At 49.8% G+C, this 20422-nt stretch overlaps 1 protein-coding gene across 23 annotated transcripts in view, besides 1 other annotated feature; it reads right to left on the bottom strand.

Moving 5' to 3' along the window:
* Positions 1-20422, bottom strand: part of SNX29 (sorting nexin 29) — a 597554-nt gene that overhangs the window by 448744 nt on the left and 128388 nt on the right. The window contains exon 1 of one of the 23 annotated variants that reach the window (XM_047434889.1): positions 7901-8882. The exons of the other annotated variants lie outside the window; for them this stretch is intronic. Coding sequence (XP_047290845.1) covers positions 7901-7922 — 22 coding nt within the window. The 5' untranslated portion in view covers positions 7923-8882. Of the gene's footprint in view, positions 1-7900; positions 8883-20422 lie in introns of those variants that run through there. 23 annotated transcript variants of the gene reach the window in all.
* Positions 3817-4316: an enhancer, noted in NCBI's record as "H3K4me1 hESC enhancer chr16:12215085-12215584 (GRCh37/hg19 assembly coordinates)". NCBI's record gives its function as "activates a minimal SCP1, AML or CMV promoter by ChIP-STARR-seq in primed H9 embryonic stem cells {active_cell/tissue: H9 hESC(primed)}" and the evidence as "EXISTENCE:reporter gene assay evidence [ECO:0000049][PMID:30033119]".

The following is a 20422-nucleotide window of genomic DNA, read 5'->3' as shown; positions in this document are numbered from 1 at the left end:
GAGAAACAGAGGACGATGGATGCCGACCCGATCCACTGTATCACCCTAGCCTCACCCTTCCCTACCCTCCCAGGTCCCATACACCGTGCATCTCCAGCCTCTTGGACGAGGCACCTGTGTTTTTATCAACATCAAAATGACTGATATCACAAGTGCAGCCAAAGCAGTACTCTGGTAGTGGGAATCTTTTAAAAATCCATCATAGAAAGACGAGCTGTCAGACCTTCCGCCTTCCCCACACAGCTATGACATCATGTTCAGGTTAACGGTGGAGAAGAAAGAAAGGGACCGAGAGCTGGCATGCCCCCCAAAATGTTCTTTCAACGGGCTTGAACCTGAACACACATTCACTTTCGCTGCCTCATTGGCTGTTTTGTGACTCTTTTTGGGCAGTAAAGCTGGTAGGTAACATCGGGGTGATTTCCACAGATCAGGTAAATATTATACTTCGCCAAGTACGAGTGACACACACGAGCAGAGGAGCTCCCGAACATGTAATTTTCTCTCCTCTCCCCTGAGCCGCGCAGCCCATGATTTGTTTAGTCTCTATCATTGTGATTTCCTTCCTCTTTATGACCTGCCACAGCTCACATTTCGAGTGAAACAGAGCAGCGCTCCTGCACTGTGGCCTCTGCAGAGCCTGGCCATGCTGCGGGGTCCCCTCTCCTACCGCTGAAAGGCAAACAACCATCCATCTCAACATTGGTTCCTTGCTTGGCTTCAGAAGACAGAACCACAAAACCAGGCAAGAGCACAGGGGAATGTCAATTTCAACCAATGGAAACTGATCTAAGATAAAAAGCAGCATTGAAAATGCTGTGGACAGGATGGATTCATCCACAAATGCAGCTGAGCAAGGAACCATTTAGGAAGTAAGACACCAGATTTCAATGAATCTCTGCTCCTGTAATGTACTGAAATACATTTCTGGTACAATAATGTTTAAATATGTGAAATGAAGCAATAAAAACTACATAAGTATCTGAACAAACATATATGCCATCTTTCTTAACATGAAACAAAAGACCAACTCCGCTAAGGAAATAATAATTTTGCTATAGTATCTGCACATCAAGGGCACATCTAACACACACGCAAGAAAAAACTGGTCCATTGTTTGTGGAACTTTAAGCTCCTCAGGGCAGTAAACTGGCAGTGTAGAAAGAATATCAGTTTTTTTTTTTTTTTGAGACGGAGTCCCACTCTGTCACCCAGGATGGAGTGCAGTGGTATGATCTCGGCTCACTGCAATCTCTGCCTCCAGGGTTCAAGTGATTCTCCTGCCTCAGTCTCCCACGTACCTGAGATTACAGGCGCCTGCCACCACGCCTGGCTAATTTTTGTATTTTTAGTAGAGATGGGGTTTCACCATGTTGGCCAGGTTGGTCTTGAACTCCTGACCTCATGATCCACATGCCTCGGCCTCCCAAAGTGCTGGGATTACAGGCGTGAGCCCCCGCGCCCGGGCTTGAACACCAGTTTTCTAATCAGATCTACCTTTGAATATCATGTCCCTCACACTTCGGTTTGAGATCCCAGCAAATGATATCATCCTTGCTTCTCAGCTCCTTCCACTGGAAAAGGTTGCTGGTATCACCAACCTCATAGGATAAAGCAGGGACCAGTAAAGCTTTCCCCAAACACGGCCACACCCACCCACTTCTGTACTGTTCAAGTCTGCTTTGATGAGTTGTTTTGACAGAGACCATGGGGCCCACACAGCCTGAAATATCTACTGTCCAGCCCTTTCCAGAAAACATTTGCCAGCCCATCTTAGGAGAACATCGCAAGTTCTTCCCTCCATGCCCCACTCTCAGCCTTCTTCATTCAGGGCTGAAGGCAGCTCTGCAGCAGCTGTGACACTGTGCCAATCAGTTGGGGCCGCTGGCTGTACCCACACAGGACACTGCAGACGGAGAGAAACGGAACAGCAGGAGGGCCACTGCTGCCTCAGACTCCTTCTCTTTTTACGGCTGAATATTATTCCCCTGCATAGATGTATATGTATATGATATATATGTATTATGTATATGATGTATATGTATATGATATATATGTATATGATGTATATGTATATGTATGTACATGAGGATGTGAGAGAGATGGGTGATGTTGGCCAAAATGTACCTCTTATAATTTTCTGTTAGAAGATGAGTAAGTTCTGCAGATCTCATGACAGCAACGGGGACTCTGGCTAACAATACTATGGTACTGTTTACTTGAAATCTGAAGAGAGAGCAGACTTTGAGTGTCCTCATCACACACATTAACACAAAAAAATGTTCACTCGGGGAGGTGGCGTATATGTTCATCTGATTGTGGTAGTCATAACGAAATACAGAGATACATCAAATCATCATGTTGTATGCCCTGAATACATACAATTTTTGTCATATAGTTAAAATTTTTTAAAAATTAGGCTGGGCACGGTGGCTCATGCCTGTAATCCCAGCCCTTTGGAGGCTGAGGCAGGCAGATCACTTGAGGTCAGGAGTTCAAGACCAGCCTGGCCAACATGGTGAAACCTCATCTCTACTAAAAATACAAAAATTAGCTGGGTGTGGTGGCAGGCGCCTCTAATTCCAGCTACTTGGGAGGCTGAGGCGGGAGAATTGCTTGAACCTGGGAGGCAGAGATTGCAGTGAGCCGAGATTATGCCACCACACTCCAGTCTGGGTGACAGAGTGAGACTCCGCCTAGAAAAAAAATTTTTTTTAAATTATTAATAACAGAGATGATAGGCAATGAAAAAGTTGGAGCCCGGCCTCAGTGGTGCTATGTGAATATAAGGCTATATCTATGCCGAGGGTTCAGTCACCGCTTCCACCCTGCACACACCCACATCTCCACCTAGGCCCTCTCCTGAGCTCCAGACCCATGTCCTCTCTGCCGCTCCAGCCTCTGCCCATCTCCTTTGCTCCCCCTTGGTTAGACTCCAACCATACTGAACACACTCTCCTTCTCTCGTGCCTCTGTGTCTTGGCACAGGCTGTTTCCCAGTGTCTGGAAGGCCTGGCCCCCTCCCTCACTCCAGGTTGTCCTTCAAGCTTCTGCTTGGGGAGCGCCTTTTCTGAGCATCTGGGGCTTGCTGGCTATAGCAGTCGTGGGAGTCCGTGGGCCTGCCCTGTCTTACTCTTGCCTCCGCTCAGAGACTCAGCCTCCACAGGCCTCCAGTCCCACCCACCCCACTTGTAATCAGTGAGACCAAGGGTACCTACTGACTCAAACCAAGCCCATCATGTAGAGTCTTCCAGAAGTTCAGATGTGCCACAGGCTGACAAGAGACGCGAAGGAAGGTGGCGACAGAGGCATCTGGCCCAAGAGCAAAGAGTTCCAAGTCACTCCACCACGGTGACTGTGGAGACACACTGAAATAGTGACTTGCCGAAAGCCAAGTGCTCAAAAGACCAGTTTAATAAACCCATCCTGGCCGGGCACAGTGGCTCACGCCTGTGATGCCAGCACTTTGGGAGGCTGAGGCAGGCAGATCACTTCAGGTCAGGAGATGAAGACCATCCCAGCCAACATGGTGAAATCCCGTCTCTACTAAAAACACAAAAATTAGCCAGGCGTGATGGTGCGTGCCTGTAGTCCTGGGTACTCGGGAGGTTGAGGCAGGAGAATCACTTGAACCCGGGAGGCAGAGGTTGCAGGGAGGTGGAGGTTGCAGTGAGCCAAGATCGCGCCACTGCATTCCAGCCTGGCAACAGAGTGAGACTCCATCTCAAAAAATAAACAATAAATGAATAAATAAACAAACCCACCCTTAAATGAAACCCTAAACTGGGCCCAGGACCCCTGGCTGGAGGCTCCTCTGTCGCCATGTACAGAGGCCTGGACAGAGACAAATGCAGATGCAGCCACAAGGCAGAGGGCCACCAAAAAGGGGAGCCAGCAAAGCCCTTCAAGGCAAGCCCACTCAGCCACAGAGAAAGTGCCGAGTCTGGCAAAGCGGCAGGTGTTGGAAATGTCAAGCGCTACTACAGAGCCCTGTAGCCTAAGGTGACTCAGTGAACTCCTCATTCCTGCCTTCGTCTCCTGCTGCACCACCACAGCCAAGGCGGCTACCCAAGGGCCAGCGGGAGAAGTGCGGGCCGACCTGCAGTGACCGCATGGCCACAGGGAATAAAGCAGTCATGCACAAATGGCCATGCTGGCTTCTGCAGGACTCTCGGCTCCCAGGCTCTGGGGGAGCCCCTATGGGGTTCTGTGCCCTTGTGTTCTAAATTGGCATGGGTTCTGTGTCCTCACAGCCAAACAATCCAAGTAGAGTTCAGTGATTCCCATTGCTCTTCATATGCACCTCCACGAAAGCACACTGTCCCCTGGGCTAGAGGTGCCCATCTGCACCTCTGCCCACCAAAGCCCCACCCCCAAGCCTGTGGGTCACTTGAGTACCGGGGCCCCAGTGCCCAGCACAGAACACACGTGAGACCTGGTGAATGATCAAAGGTAAGATGCGTAAGTGAATTGATAAACAAATGAATGACTGACAGTCGCCCACTGCTAAAACGCCACCCTCAGCTCCAGGAACTGAGCATGGGATGAGCTGGACAGAAACGTCAACCACGTTAATCATAAGTTCAAGGCCTCGGCACAGAACACTAACCAGCAGGTTCACAGCTGTAATTTCTTGCCCCAGTGACAGAGATTCAGGCTCCCGTTGAGCTTTTTCCATTATGCATCTCGGGAATGCGACAGGCATGGGGAGGAGGGGACACGGTCCCATACATCATTACCATGACCTCAAACAGGACGAGCCTACAAAACCGTTCCCCTCCTTTCTCGGCAGTGACCACATGAATGCTCAATTTCAAAAACAACAGTGGAGCAGGGACCAGCCTCCAGTCCCCAGGGACCCAAACATAAACACAGACACACAGCCAGATGACGCACAGGCCCATTCACACAAATGATTACGGCCTCGGAGGCTGCTATATAAAGCAATGAAACAGTGACACCAAGGGAGGGGTGAGAGGCGTCTCTTCTTCAGCCACTAAAGGCCCCCAGGGGGGGAATTATCCTGAGACTCATTGATCTTCAACTGCCTTTTCAAAATTAAAAAGGGAAGAGACTGCTGACTGCGATGACTAGACAGGGTGACGTGTGGACGCATGTGTGCGCACACACACTCTCTCACATATATACATAGATCTGTGCAATAACTCCCTGGCTTTATATAGCATCTTTTTCCAAAGACCTCAAAGAGCCTTTACAAACACTCCCCTGCGGCCCATACTCAGCTATCTTTAAAGACAGAGCTCATGAGGGCACATGCACAAATAAAGAATGTTCCTCTACAGGGATGGACTTAACCTACATCATCATTTTTCAAACTTAACATCCTGCTTTTTATATCTTTGTCTGCCTACCCACTCCCTTTCCTTTTATCTCCAAAAGAAAGGATAAACTATATCGAGCTCTAAAATGTAACTTTTAAATTACTCAGGCCCATTCTAACTTTTCGTTCTGTTTCTCTCTCCTGCCACCCTCCTCCCCTAGCCCACCCAGAGTTTCTATTCTTTTCAATTTGTTAAGATAAAGGAGGAAAAAATGTCCCAAGACCCCTTCGCAGGGCTCAGATGGCCAGTGGTTACCACACACTGCCTGTTTCATACACACCCAGCAATGCGAGAGGCACCTGAAATACACGATCTCATGTAATTCTCACAAGGTTTCTGAGAAGCAAGCATGATTACACTTGCTGTCTGAATGAGGCAACAGAGACCAGGAGAAGGGAAGTGACTTGCCTCAGGCCACACAGCCAGGAAGTGGCCAGGCAAGGACCCACACCTGGTCCAGCTTGCTTGAAGGCCTGTCCCCCCAAGCGGGCAGTGCCAGGCCCAGCCCGGCTCCTGGGAGGCAGCGCACAGCCTCAGGACTCACACCAGTTCCCAGGGTGTGGCCTCTGGCAGTTCTCCCAGTCTTTCTCTGTCCTCTTTTGGAAAATCAAAAGTGTGATTAAATTCTGGCCCTTTCCAGTTTTAGAACTATGGTTTCTACATAATTATAATCTCAAAACAGAAAACACAAATGTGAGGCACTCATGGGAATGGGATGGAAAATGGAAGAAAGTCACAAGGTACAGAAGAAAAACCCCTTGCAAAATCTTGATAAGGTTCTAGATCTTTATTAACTTTTCCAGATTTGTAATTTTTTGGTTTTCTCTCTCTTGTTCATGTGCGCACTCTCAAACACAAACACACACAGTGAGCGTTTATAAAGATTTGTACTACGAATCCTTAAGGCAGGCATCCCAAAAGCGGATACAGACAGGGCCTCCAGGGAGCAAAGTCCTCACAGGGTACAGTGGGACGAGAGGACCCCGGCTAAGGAGCAGTCCCTGCCTCCAATCCACTGTCTATGCGGGGACATGGCTGCCACCAGTCCTGAGTTGTTGAGAGAAGCCAGGAGTCACATTTTTACACAGATCTGATTTTTAAACACTGTAAACTGAGGTTCTTACCACACAGGTCCAAGAGATCAAGCTGTGGATCACTATTGTGAGCCTCATGTCCTAAAGTATGAGTTCTGAGCACCAAGCAGCTTGGAAATGTCAAGGTAATTAGCACACATTTGCACCGCCATTTTTACAAAGCAGCATTCCACCCACATCAGTGAATGTCAGAAGTGTAGAGTTGGAAGGGGCCTGAGATGGGATCTAATGGAGGCAGACAGGGGACAGTGAATGGACACCCCAGAGGAACTCCCACAGCAGCCTCGAAGTGACTAAATCAGAGACCACAGACAGTCCGAGCATCCCTACCCTGCCTGTCCCACTCACAGAAGGCTAGAAAACACAGCACTCAGGTATGCGTGAATTTATTAGGAGCAGTAACTCAGGTGAGGGTCGAGGGTGTCTCTTAATTTTATACCTTTCCACATATATGTTCTCATTTCATATCAAGGCATCAAAAGGTGGTCTCTAGGGCGGGCACGGTGGCTCACACCTGTCATACCAACACTTTGGGAGGCCGAGGTGGGCGGATCACGTCAGGTCAGGAATTTGATACCAGGCCAACACAGTGAAATCCCATCTCTACTAAAAACACAAAAATCAGCCGGGCATGGTGGCAGGCACCTGTAATCCCAGCTACTCGGGAGGCTGAGGCAGGGGATGACTTGAACCCAGGAGACGGAGGTTGCAGTGAGCCGACATGGTGCCACTGCACTCCAGCCTGGGTGACAGAGCAAGACTCCATCTCATAAAAAAAAAAAAAAAAAAAAAAAGGTGGTCTGTATATCTACTATCTACAGTCTTCTTTTAAAAGGCATCATGAGCACTTTAGCTTTAAAGGAGTACTCACCAGAATTAAAAGCACAAAGTTGCAGAGGTTGCTTCCAGCAGTAGAAGCAATGGAACTAAGCGAAAGGCTTACTTGGCTAGTGAGAAGCGGGTGGGGAGCGGTGGCACAGCTGAAAGTTTTTTTTCTTTGTTTTTATTTTTGAGACAGAGTCTCGCTCTGTCGCCCAGGCTGAAGTACAGTGGTGGGATCTCGGCTCACTGCAACCTCCGCCTCCCGTGTTGAAGCAATCCTCCTGCCTCAGCCTCCCAAGGAGCTAGGACTACAGGCACATGCCACCACACCCGGCTAAGTTTTTTTGTATTTTTAGTAGGGACAGGGTTTCACTGTGTTAGCCAGGGTGGTCTCAATCTCCTGACCTTGTGATCCGCCCGCCTCAGCCTCTCAAAGTGCTGGGATTACAGCTGTGAGCCACCGTGCCCCGCCAAACTGAAGGTTTTTTAAAAATCATGTACTGAGGTACGATTCATATCACATAAAATTAACCATTTGAAAGTGAACAATTCAGTGGCCTTTAGTACGTTCAAAATGTTGTGCAACCATCACTACTATCCAGTTCTAGAACGTTTCTACCACGCCAAAGCAAAACCTCTTACCCATTAAGCAATTTCTTCCCATTTCATCCTCCTCCCTGGCAACCTCTGATCCACATTGCGTCTCTATGAATTTACGTACTCCAATGCTTCACAGAAACGGAATCATCTCTTATGTGGTCTTCTTTTTTAATAGAGTCTTTTTGCCTGGCTCCTTTGACTAAGCCTGTTTCCACGGTTCGTCCGCGTTGAAGCACGTATTGACCACGCCTGTTTCCACGGTTCGTCCGCATTGAAGCACGTATTGACCACGCCTGTTTCCACGGTTCGTCCGCACTGAAGCACGTATTGACCACGCCTGTTTCCACGGTTCGTCCGCATTGAAGCACGTATTGACCACGCCTGTTTCCACGGTTCGTCCGCGTTGAAGCACGTATTGACCACGCCTGTTTCCACGGTTCGTCCGCATTGAAGCACGTATTGACCATGCCTGTTTCCACGGTTCATCCGCGTTGAAGCACGTATTGACCGTGCCTGTTTCCATGGTTCGTCCGCACTGAAGCACGTATTGACCACGCCTGTTTCCATGGTTCGTCCGCACTGAAGCACGTATTGACCACGCCTGTTTCCATGGTTCGTCCGCATTGAAGCACGTATTGAACACGCCTGTTTCCATGGTTCGTCCGCACTGAAGCACGTATTGACCACGCCTGTTTCCATGGTTCATCCGCATTGAAGCACGTATTGACCACTCCTGTTTCCATGGTTCGTCCTCGTTGAAGCACGTATTGACCGTGCCTGTTTCCACGGTTCGTCCGCGTTGAAGCAGGTATTGACTAAGCCTGTTTCCATGGTTCGTCCTCGTTGAAGCACGTATTGACTAAGCCTGTTTCCACGGTTCGTCCGCGTTGAAGCAGGTATTGACTAAGCCTGTTTCCACGGTTCATCTGTGTTGAAGCATGTATTGACTAAGCCTGTTTCCACAGTTCATCCACGTTGAAGCATGTATCAGTGCCTCATTCCTTCTTTTTTTGAGAAGGAGTCTCACTCCGTGGCCCAGGCTGGAGTATGGTGGCGTGATCCTGGCTCACTGCAACCTCTGCCTCCCGGGTTCAAGTGATTCTCATGCCTCAGCCTCCCAAGTACCTGGGGCCACAAGTGCCCGCCACCACACCCGGCTAATTTTTGTATTTTTTAAGTAGAGATGACGTTCACCATGTTGGCCAGGCTGGTCTCAAACTCCTGACCTCAAGTGATCCACCCCGCCTTGGCCTCCCAAAGTGGTAAGATCACAGGCATGAGCCACTGCGCCCGGCCCCTCATTCCTTTTATAGCTGAATCATGTTCCACTGTATGGATATGCCACAATTTGTTAATCCATTCTTCAGATAATGGACATTTATACTGAGCTGTTTCCACCTTTTGGAGATTGTGATCATGTTGCCATCAACCTTTGTGCATAGTTACCTGTTTGAGTCTCTACTTTCAGTTCTTTTGGATGTGTACCTAGAAGTGGAATTACAGGGACATGCGGTAATTCCACTAACGTTTTAAGGATCCACCAAACTGTTTCCCACAATTAGGAGAGAGAGTTTTTCAAAATCACTATATTGCACTTACAGGAGAGTTTGGAAATTAGTATGGCAGATATCTTTGTCTCCATCACCTGGCACGGTCAATTTGGATTATTTCACCACAATGAATCCAAATATTGTTTAACACTAAATCCTTACTGATCCAGTTGAAAAAGCAGTTAGGGAGAGTGGGACGAGGGTGGAAAGGAAGACAGCTGCTCCCCTAAGAATACTCCTCTTGCGGGGTGCAGTGGAGGGCTTATCCATCAATTACACAAGAGGCTCACTCACTTCTCCGTCAGTGGGCAGAGAGCTGCAAGCGAGGTACACATGTGTTTCACAAAGAAAGGCCTCGAGGAGGAACATATTGCAGAAACCCGCCAAAGGACCAGGTTCAGGTGACAAGTGGAGTACAGGTGTTAATTAGATGGCTCCAGATAAATGTGAAACCGTGCATAGTGGAGCCTACCCATTCTTCACTGCAAAACACAAAATCAGTAGGTCTGCAAGAAGAGATGGCACATTCTGCAAAGATATTCACATGAGCTCTTGTGAATAACAGGCTGTTCTATGTGCCTTTACAGAGTGATTCCACTTAGTACCCAGCACCACACACACACACACACACACACACACACACACACACAAATCAAGGTGGAGCAACCCAGGGGCAAGGCCTGGGCTATACAGTAGAGGCAGCAAAAACTCCCCTGAATTTCTCTGGTCAGAGCATGTCTGACCCTGCTGTGTCCCATCCCTGCCTGGGGTTTCACTGGCCTGGCTCTCAAAGCTGCATGAGTCTATAAACCCTAGGGAGACTGAGAAACCCACTTTCTTCCTTCGGTACTTGTGGAGGAGAATCCAGTCCCTACCACAGATAGGATGGGATTCCCAGCCAAGAAGAAGACAACACCAGCAGCAGTGAAAGCAGCGAGGGGGGCTGAAGGAAAAAGCAACGGAGGGGGAGGGACGGACTTCAGCTTCTGCCAGGGGCAATTTTTCATCCACTGCCAACCTTGAAGGCTAGGTCTGGGCTTGACTGTACTAAAGGAACCAGCGAGTCCCTTATTTGATGGAACTGGTGGTGTCATCCCCCATTTCACAGATGGAAAGACCGAGAGAAGTTAAGTGTTCCTAATAGCAACTGCTAGCAGGGCACCAGCCGAGTGCCAGGCACAGGGTGAAACTATGTGTCAATTATCTCATTCGACCCTCCAAATCACGCCACGAAGCAGGTGTTTAGAATCAAACCCATTTTATAGATTAGGAAACTGAGACATATGAAGTGATTTGCCCTAAATTACAAAGGAATTATGATGCATTTGAGACCAGCCTGGCCAACATGCTGAAACCCCGTCTCTACTAAAAATACAAAAAAATTAGCCAGGCATGGTGGGGGGCACCTGTAATCCCAGCTACTCGGGAGGCTGAGGCAGGAGAATCGCTTGAACCCAGGAGGCGGAGGTTGCAGTGAGCTGAGATCATGCCACTGCACTCCAGCCTAGGCAGCAGAGCAAAACTCCGTCTCAAGAAGAACAAAAACAAAATTAAAAAAAAAAAAAGGAATGACGATACAGAACCGGGACTGAAACACGGGCCATCTGACACTGGAACCCATAACCACAGTGATACTCACTGTCTCCCGAATGGGATCTCAGAATGAGGAGGCCAGGGCTTCATGTTGGTTCTGCACAAATCAACATTCTCAAGACCATCATGTCATTTTAGAGACAGAGCCTCAACAGGATTGGGGCAAAGCCAGCATGGCCACAGGTCATGGACGTGTGCTTCTCTGCACCTCTCTCCTCCTAACAGAGCCCTTCAGGGGTAGACCTGAAAACCATCCAACCCTGGGATCCAGGGACGCCTACTTGCAGCTGTACCTCTGGATGCTGGAGTTAGGGGAACGATATTATTCCCTTATTTTACTTAAGCTGGCTTGAGCTGGTTTCTGTCCCTTGTAACCAAATGAGTCACAGCTCATATGCTATGTGGAACCTACACTGAGTTGGCACGGGAGGCAACGTGGCCAGCAAGGTGGGAGATATACAGGATGAGAAAAATGACATTATAAGCAAAGACATGTGATGTCACGGCAAGTAACAGACAAGGACTGTGGGCCCAGCCTCTAACTGGCATGGCATTTCAAACCCACTTTGGGTCTCAGATGTTACATCTACAAAATGCGGAGGTTACACAAGCTCATCTTCTAGAATCCTTCTAGCTCTCAGATGCTGTGATTCATCAGGAATAGCAGATGAGCCCTACCAGTTTCTGGCTCCTGCAAGTGAATGTGGCACATTAGCTGTCCTCGTCATCTGTTCCTGTCCGCTGGCCGCTCGCCGGCCAAATGCAACCAGCAGAGATATGACCCCGACCCGTCTAAAGCCCTGAGTCTGCCATGGCCCCTGGGGCTGCGAGGCCAACATCTGTTGTCACTGGCCTCATGCACAGTGGAGTGGTGGGGTTAACTGGTGGCAAGGAAGATTAATTGCATGCGAAATACTCATAAATAATGAGGATGCGGAGCTGCACAGCTTCCTTCCCCTTCAGGCTGTGGTATCATATGCACGGGCAATTCTCAAACAGACTCTCACACATAATCTGCAATTAATTAGATGCAGCCAGCCACTGAGAGGGTGCAGGCAGATCTCACACCCGGAGTGAATCTCACCAACTCTGCACCATCCTACTCTGCACCTGACACTTTGAGAAATAACCAGAACATCCTTAGACAGAACACAGGAGCCATGTAGTCAGGAGGGGCCAGGTTCCAGCCCGGCTCGGCGACTCTACCTCCCTTGCAGCCATGGATGTGTGGCTTGTCTGCTCTGAGGCTCAGTTTCCCCACCTCTGAAATGGGCATGACGGCACCTCCTGACAACCTCCCAAATTATGGAGGTGATTCAATGGGGAAAAGAGATTAGGCATCTGCAAAATGAAAGATGCCGTGCTAATGCCTGCCTAAGGAGTGACTGCTCAATCCACTTCCTCAGTCCTGGAGAGCAGGGAAGGGAAGCAGAGGATGCTGCCCAGTCTTGGAGTCAAGGCAAGCAAGGCCCAGAAATGCGGAGCAACAAGAGACACTCAGAGCATAACTGGACAAACACAATGGGAATCATGTGGATCTCCTGAGACTCAGAGTCCACCACGCTGTCCCAGGCAGCGTGGTTTCCATCAGGCCTCCTTCCAGGTGCTCCAATGAATCCAGTGCAGAGGTGATCTCTTAACATGTGGAATACAGGGGAAATATTCTCCATTCCATCCTCCTCCGGCAGGAAGAGAATGGCAATTATACATCCAGCTGTACCCAGTGCAGGTACCTGCACTTCTAAGCTAAGGACAGTAGGCTATTGAGGACCAGTGATGTTGGAGCAAAAATATAACTGGAAACTGAACAATCAGTGGGTTTTGACATTCAAGGATTTAGCACCCTTTCACTCGAAACTCACACTGAAAACCCAGCTCAGACAAGCTGTCTTGCCAGAAGAGACCTGGACCTCACGAGACAAAGCCACTTCTCCCGCTTGGGGCTGCTGTCGTCTTCGGCATTCACTTCACAGCCTCCCCAGCTAAATGGCGAGTCCCTTGTGAGCAGGATTCCACCCATGCCTTCTGCGTTTCCCTCACGCATGCAGCCTAGTACATTGCCTGATGGCAGCACCTTCATGAATACACGTGGATGGGACTAAATCAGCCCCAGATCTCCACCTCAGCAGCCACGCAGAGATGACACTGGAGGTGCCCGAAGTCTGCCCTGCCCCCTGTTTCTGAGTTGCCTCCTCACCAAGAACTGCCTTTGTTCTGATTCAAACTTAAGAGGGAGGGGAGGTAGGGGCAGGAGCACACTGCTGCTTCCAGAACAGAGCTCCAAACTTAAGGAAGCACCTGTGGCTCGTGACTGGGCACTCTCAGGACAGACTGGCAGCTGGCAGCTCCCCTTCCTCCACCCCGACCCTGTCTTCTACGAAGGGAGGTGAAGGTACAGTTGGGCAGTTGACCCAGCTTCACCCAGCAGTAAACTCCAAGAGCTCCCAGAGTTCAGCAGTCACATAGCTTTGGACCTTTGCAAACCACTGCAACCTCTGCGCACAACCTCTGTGTGCATCCTCTGCCAGCAGAGCCCTGGGAACGATGACCACGGGGTGGGTGTGTCTGCGGACGCCCTGCTCCGGAATGAAGACTGTGCATTTCACTGCTATGCAGTGAGTGCTTCCTAGACCCCCCACCACACACCCCATCTCAGATCTTCAGAGAAGCAGGCGACACGGATCTGGGGAAGCAACCCACACACACTCTCAAATCTCACCTCTCCGTACTCCCATGATTTTGCTTTACCCCAGCAGCCTCCTGAAGATCTCTCGCTCTCACTCAGGCTTTCCTAAACCATCTGAAATGACTCTCATGCCTCCTGCCACCTGCTACCCACACCATTCAGTCTAGGTGATCTCTCCATCACACTCAACTAAACAAGCTCTGCTGGGTGGCTATGCCCAAAGCCATTCCCAACCCATTCTCCTTGCTGCCTGCCATCTTGGAGGCTGGAAGCAGGCACTTGCTTTCCTTGCAGTGGGAAGGGGCCGGGAACCTCCCCACTGTGTCACTGAGACGTAAAGGGAAGTCTGCTAAGTGGACTCCTGCGCAGGGAGGGAAGGAGGAGCCTGCCTCAAGTCTCTGAGGTAAGAAGGAACTTGGCAAGTCTGAGGAACGGCTCAAAGGCCAGTGTGGCTGGCAAGTGACAAGCACAGGTCATGGAAGGCAAAGGGCAGCAGGGGTCACATCACGCAGGCTTTGCAGGCCACAGCAAAAACATGGATTTTGTGCTAAAGTGCAGAACGAGGCCACAGCAGGGTGCTGGGCAGGGAAGTGAGCTGACTGGTGCAGGGGTGGAAGGGTACAGGTGTGTGCATGCACCTGTCAAGATAAACCACCATCCTGCTGGGGTGCAGGGGCATGCAGCAGATCGCCTCAGTAGCCCTTGTGAACATGCCATTGTATTAAGACCTTGGCCCCCTCAGAAAAACACTGCTTTCTGGCCCACACGTGTAATCGCAGTACTTTGAGAAGCCAAGGTGGGAGGATCACTTGAGGCTAGGAGTTTGAGGCAACATAGCTCACTACAGACCCTATCTTTACAAAAAATAAGAAATTAGCCAGGCGTGGTAGCGTGCACCTGTGATCTCAGCTACTCTGAGCCAGGAGGGTCGCTTGAGCCCAGGAGTTTGAGGCTACAGTGGGCTATGATCGCACCACTGCACTCCAGCCTGGGCAACAGAGCAAGACCCTTTCTCAAAAAAAAAAAATTAAAAAAGAAAAACACCATTTTTTGTTAATAATCAGGTTTGTTTCCTCAGGCCACCACACTGTCTTAAAAGGGCTCAGGTCCACAGACTGTCAACAGAAAACTGGATGATACAACTGCTGTAGTCCAGAGGTTGGTTTAGATACCAAGGCATTGTGTGAAGTGACATTGACCACCCTGGAGCAGGGTGTTTTTAAAAGCCTGGGCGTTTGTCTCACCGCAAGCCCAACCACTAAGCCTTCAGAAACCAAAGGGAGTCAAGCAGCCCAGCCACCACACCTGCTCTTCCCTAGCAAAAGGCCGTCCCTTCCTCGTCACAGGGCTCAGCAGGCCAAAAGGTGGCCCTAAAAGCTGGACTCTTGCTTCTGTGTTCATCACAGTCTATGGTCTGAGTCATCTGTGCAAAACCCACTCACCTGGAGAAAAGGAAAAAGTCTGTTCTAAGTTCCACCTTCAGAGCTAGAAAATTAGTCTTTAATCAGACTAAGTGGGGAACGACATGCTGGGCTGCAGGAGACGTTAGACACATGGGAGGAAGGGCTGCCTCACCCCAGGAAATAAAGGATGCTTCCACCTCTCTCCTGCCTCAGGAGCTTCAGGGGAAAGTATCTCCAAGCAGGGATGCAGGAAGAGAGTCATCTGAGAGCCATTTGCAGCTTTAGACACGTGAGCTGCAGTTCTGAAACACCTCCCCGCAAGCTCAGCATCCAGTGACAGGTCCAGCTTAGGGTCGGAGCCTCCGTATTCACTTTGCCCAGTGCAGACGGCAGGACAGTGAGATCACACTCATTTTAAAGACGAGGGCCGGGCACGGTGGCTCACACTTATAATCCCAGCACTCTGAGAGGCCAAGGCGGGTGGATCACGAGGGCAGGAGTTCAAGACCAGCCTGGCCAACGTGGTGAAACTCTGTCTCTACTAAAAATACAAAAATTAGGTGGGCGTGGTAGTGCACACCTGTAATCCCAGATACTTGGGAGGCTGAGGCAGGAGAACTGCTTGAACCTGTGAGGCGGAGGTTGCAGTGAGCCAAGATTGCGCCACTGCACTCCAGCCTGGGTGACAGAGCGGGATTCCGTGTCAAAAAAAAAAAGATGAGGGCAATGGAAGCTCAACAGGTTAACCCTTGAGCCTTCTTGCAGGAGCTTTCCAGAGTCTGCACGGCTGGGCATCCCCTACTCACCATGTCCCTCCTTGCTCCAGATGACAGCAGCTTCGTGGTGCATGCATGAGGGTCCCGGATGTAGACAATTAGGACTAGTGCTGTAGTGAGGCCACTGACAGGGGGCTGCTGTGGTTTCAATGTTTGTCCCCTCGAAAACTCACAGTGAAATTTAAGCCCCAGTAGCAGTACTGAGACGTGGGGCCTTTAAGAGGTGACTGTGTCATGAGAGCTTGGCAATCATGAGTGTATTGAACCATTCATGCACTCATGGATGAATGAGTTAATGGATGCATGGGGTACCACGGGAGTGGGCCCATTTTTGGAGTGGTGGCTTTTTAAGAAGAGGAAGAGAGACCTGAGCTCACACACTCAGTCCCCTCCCCATCTGCTGCTCTATGCCAGTTCAGGACCCTGCAGAGAGTCCCCACCAGCAAGAAGGTCCTCACCAGATACAAACTCTCAACTCTAGACTTCTCAGCCTGCACAACTCTAAGAAATAAATTCCTTTTCTTTTTTTTTTTTTTTTTTTTTTTTTTTTGAGACAGCGCCTCACTCTATTGCCCAGGCTGGAGTGCAATGGCATGATCTGGGATCACTGCAACCTCTGCTCCCCAGGTTCAAGTGATTATCCTGCCTTAGCCTCCCAAGTAGCTGGGGTTACAGGAGCCTGTCACAGCACCCAGCTAATTTTTGTATTTTTAGTAGAGACGGGATTTTACCATCTTGGCCAGGCTGCTCTTGAACTCCTGCCGTGTGATCCACCTGCCTCGGCCTCCCAAAGTGCTGGGATTACAGGCGTGAGCCACTGTGCCCAGCCTCCTTTTCTTTATTAATTACCCAACTTCAAGTACTCTGTTATAAGCAACAGAAAACGAACAAGACAGGGACAGCTTCGTGTGTATGGATGGAGCAGAGGCTTCAGGGCTCAGGCTGGGTTCAAACCCTTGCACTGGCCACCACCAGCATAACTCTACGTAATGGACTGAACCTCCCTGATGGCCAGCTGTGGCATCGGGGCACAGGGACATGATCACTCAACTCACAGGGCTGTTGTAGGTATTAAGAGAGCTACAGGCTATGGAGGTTCCCGCATGCACACTGCCCAGATATAGTAGTCACCCAACAAGCTTGGATGCCTCTGACCCCTCTCCTAAAAGAGAAAACACAGCACCTCCAAGACTCAAAAGGTTCAAGTCTGGAGCCAGAACCAGCCTCCAGGTGCCGTGACACCTTCTGGTGCACCTGCTGACTTGGTTCTCCCATGGTCAAGTCCAGCCCAGTTGTCTTTTTCTCATGGAAGCCACTCACCATCATGGAGTCTCCCCCTGGCCTGGCATGGAACTTCCATAAGGAGGGCATCAGGCCTGGGGTCCCAGCCTCAAGAGCCAGGTGGCATTCTCCCCCACCTCAGTCCTGGCCCTTCCTAACCTCTACCATAGCTCATCAAAGAATGCCAGACAAGGCTAGTAAAAGTCAACTTCCTCTACCACTGGGAGGGCTTCTCCTACCCTAAAGATTGTCCAAAAAGAGCCTGGCCCATCTGCATCTCAGCTCGGGTAGCATAATTATCCTCCTTGGAACAGCAAAGAGCAATTGATGTCAAATGGAAAATCTCTATGGTTCAACATGGACCTTTCCCCTCCTTATTTTTCTAGCAACTCCTAATAAATTTCGAAGTCTCATTCCACTACCGTCAATCAATCTTTGGCCTTAAAAAAAAAAGCTCACAGCCTAATTCATTTCATAGCTTCAACAGTACCTAATTCTATCACTTAAAACACGATTGTTAATCAATCCCTGTGGCACACAGTTTCTTCATTCCTAATGAAGAATTCCTATGGACGGGTAGCAGAACACCTGCTTCTGGGCCTGGGGAGGATGTCTGAGAATGAAACTCCAGAACAAGCAGATGCCTGGACAGGGCAGGCAGTCATCACATCCACGGTGCCCACCACCCACTCGTCACCTCGATTCTCTTCTATCCACATAACCAGCAACTCCTCTTTTTTTTGTTTTTGTTTTTGTTTTTTGAGGCAGAGTCTCACTCTGTTGCCCAGGCCGGAATGAAGGAACGCATCTCAGCTCACTGCAACCTCTGTCTCCCAGGTTCAAGAGATTCTCCTGCCTCAGTCACCATGCCTGGCTAATTTTTGTATTTTTCAGTAGAGACGGGGTTTCGGCATGTTGGCCAGGCTGGTCTTGAACTCCTGACCTCAGGTGATCCTCCTGCCTCAACCTCCTACAGTGCTGGGATTACAAGCATCAGCCACCGCACCAGGTCTTAAATTCTTTCGAAGCAAAAACGTTTTAAAAAAAAAAAAAAAAAACCCACAGTGCTGTGGTCAGTCAGATTGGCCCGTGCTGTCTTCCACCTGGAGCAGATGCCAGCTGTCCCCACACCCATTTTCTTCTTCTGTAGTAACTGAAGCGCCTTGGCTGGCCAGGTGACCACTCAGAATAAAGACATCTCTCGCCTTCACGTGCAGCCTTGCAGCTGTGGCCGTTTAACTAATTCCAGCCAAGGTGAGGTTAATAGGAAGTGATGCAGGGCCATGTGCCGTGGCCCGCACCTGGAATCCCAGCACTCTGGGACGCCGAGGAGGGAGGATTGCTTTAGCCCAGGAGTTCAAGACCAGCCTGGGCAACACAGTGAGACCTCATCTCTACAAAAAAAATTTCAAAATTAGCTGGGCATGGTGACATGCACCTGTAGTCCCAGCTACTTGGGAGGCTAAAGTGGGAAGACTGCTTGAGTCCAGGAGTACAAGGCAGCAGGGAGCCATAATCGTGCCACTGCACTGCAGCCTGGGTGACAGAGTGAGACCCGGTCTCAAAAAAAAAAGGAAGCACTACTGGAAGTTGGGGGTATACCCTTAAATAAAAGGGGCGAGGCATGGTGGCTCACACGTGTACTCCCAGCACTTTCAGAGGCCAAGGCAGGAGAATCGCTTAAGCCCAGGAGTCATAGATAAGCCTAGGCAACACAGTGAGACCCTGTCTCTACCAAAAAAAAAAAATAGAAAAATGAGCCAGGCATGGTGGCACGTGCCTGTAGTCCCAGCTACTCAGGAGGCTGAGGCAGGAGGATCAATTGAGACCGGGAAGTGGATGCTGCCATAAGGTATCATCATTCCACTGCGCTGCAGCCTGGGTGACTGCAAGGCCCTGTCTGAAAAAGAAAAACAAGCAGCAGCAGAAAAGGAGGGGGCCGAGGAGGGGGCCTTATCTCCGCTCTGGCAGAAATGTGCATGTGATGGACACGTGGACAAGGGCAACATCTGAAATGTAATGGCACCACCAAGAAGAGTGGACTGGGCTTCAAACTGTCAAGTGGGAAGAAAGAAAATTCTACCTTGTCTAAACCAGTGTTGCTCAGGGTCTCTGTCACAGAAACCAGACAACAGCCCGCCTGACACACCACCGATGCAATTCCTGGCAAAGCCATTGACACATTAGGAGGGGAGCTTTTCAGTCCCTCCCTCAGCCCACACAGGGCAGGGGTGAGCAGATGAAACTCACAGAAGCCAAGTTTCTAGAGTCCCCGGTGAGAGCATTTCGTATCATTAAGCTGTGACAATCTTGCTTCAGCATCTCTCCCTCCTCCCTCGCGTTACTTAGATGGAAACGTTGGCTCTGTCCCTCCAGAGGAGCCACGGCTGAGGCTTATGAAGATGGATTAGTACAGACTCCTCCAGGAAGCAATCACTCTTCATCTCCTCTCATGCTGGGCCAGCCAGGACGCCCACCGCTGAGCTCGCTGGTAAATATGGTCGCAGTCCCCCACCCAACTTCTCCACTCATTCACCAAACTTAATATTCGCCCAAAAAGAGCTTTGCAGATCTCTTCTTTCCAAGCTAATCTCTCCACTCCAAGGACTGTGGCTCACCTGTGCAGCAGGACCACACACCGCACTGCTGGGCCTGAAGGCTTCTGGGGCAGGAGGAGAGAAGGGCTAGGAGACCCTGGAAACACAGCATTGTCTCTGTGTTTTGAGTTTTTCCATCACTAAAATGCATCACCTGAGTCACCAGTGCTACTTAGAAAAGAAGAAAATCACATATAGACTAATAAGGGTCACTCTTTAATAAAGATTTGTGGGTGGATTTTTTTTTTCCCAAAATGCACTTTAGAAATTAGATTCCTGGCCGGGTGTGGTGGCTCACGCCTGTAATCCCAGCACTTTGGGAGGCTGAAATAGGCAGATCACAAGGTCAGGTTTTTACCTGGCCAACATGGTAAAAACCCACCTCTATTAAAAGAAAAAAACAAAAAACTAGCTAGGTGTGGTGGTGTGTGCCTGTAATCCCAGCTACTCGGGTGGCTGAGGCACAAGAATCGCTTGAACCCAGGAGGCAGAGGTTGCAGTGAGCTGAGATCATGACCCTGCACTCCAGCCTAGCGACAGAGTGAGACAATGAAGGAAGGAAGGAAGGAAGGGAGGGAGGGAGGGAGGGAGGGAGGAAGGGAGGAAGGAAGGAAATAAATTAGACTCTCAGCACAGTCTGGCCTCATTTTTGGGTTAACTGTGACCCTCACCATTAAG

Source organism: Homo sapiens, chromosome 16 (genome assembly GCF_000001405.40).
Source record: "Homo sapiens chromosome 16, GRCh38.p14 Primary Assembly".
Classification (NCBI taxonomy): domain Eukaryota; kingdom Metazoa; phylum Chordata; class Mammalia; order Primates; family Hominidae; genus Homo; species Homo sapiens.
Note: the sequence above shows the minus strand (reverse complement) of the source record. Positions and strands in the feature narration are given on the sequence as shown.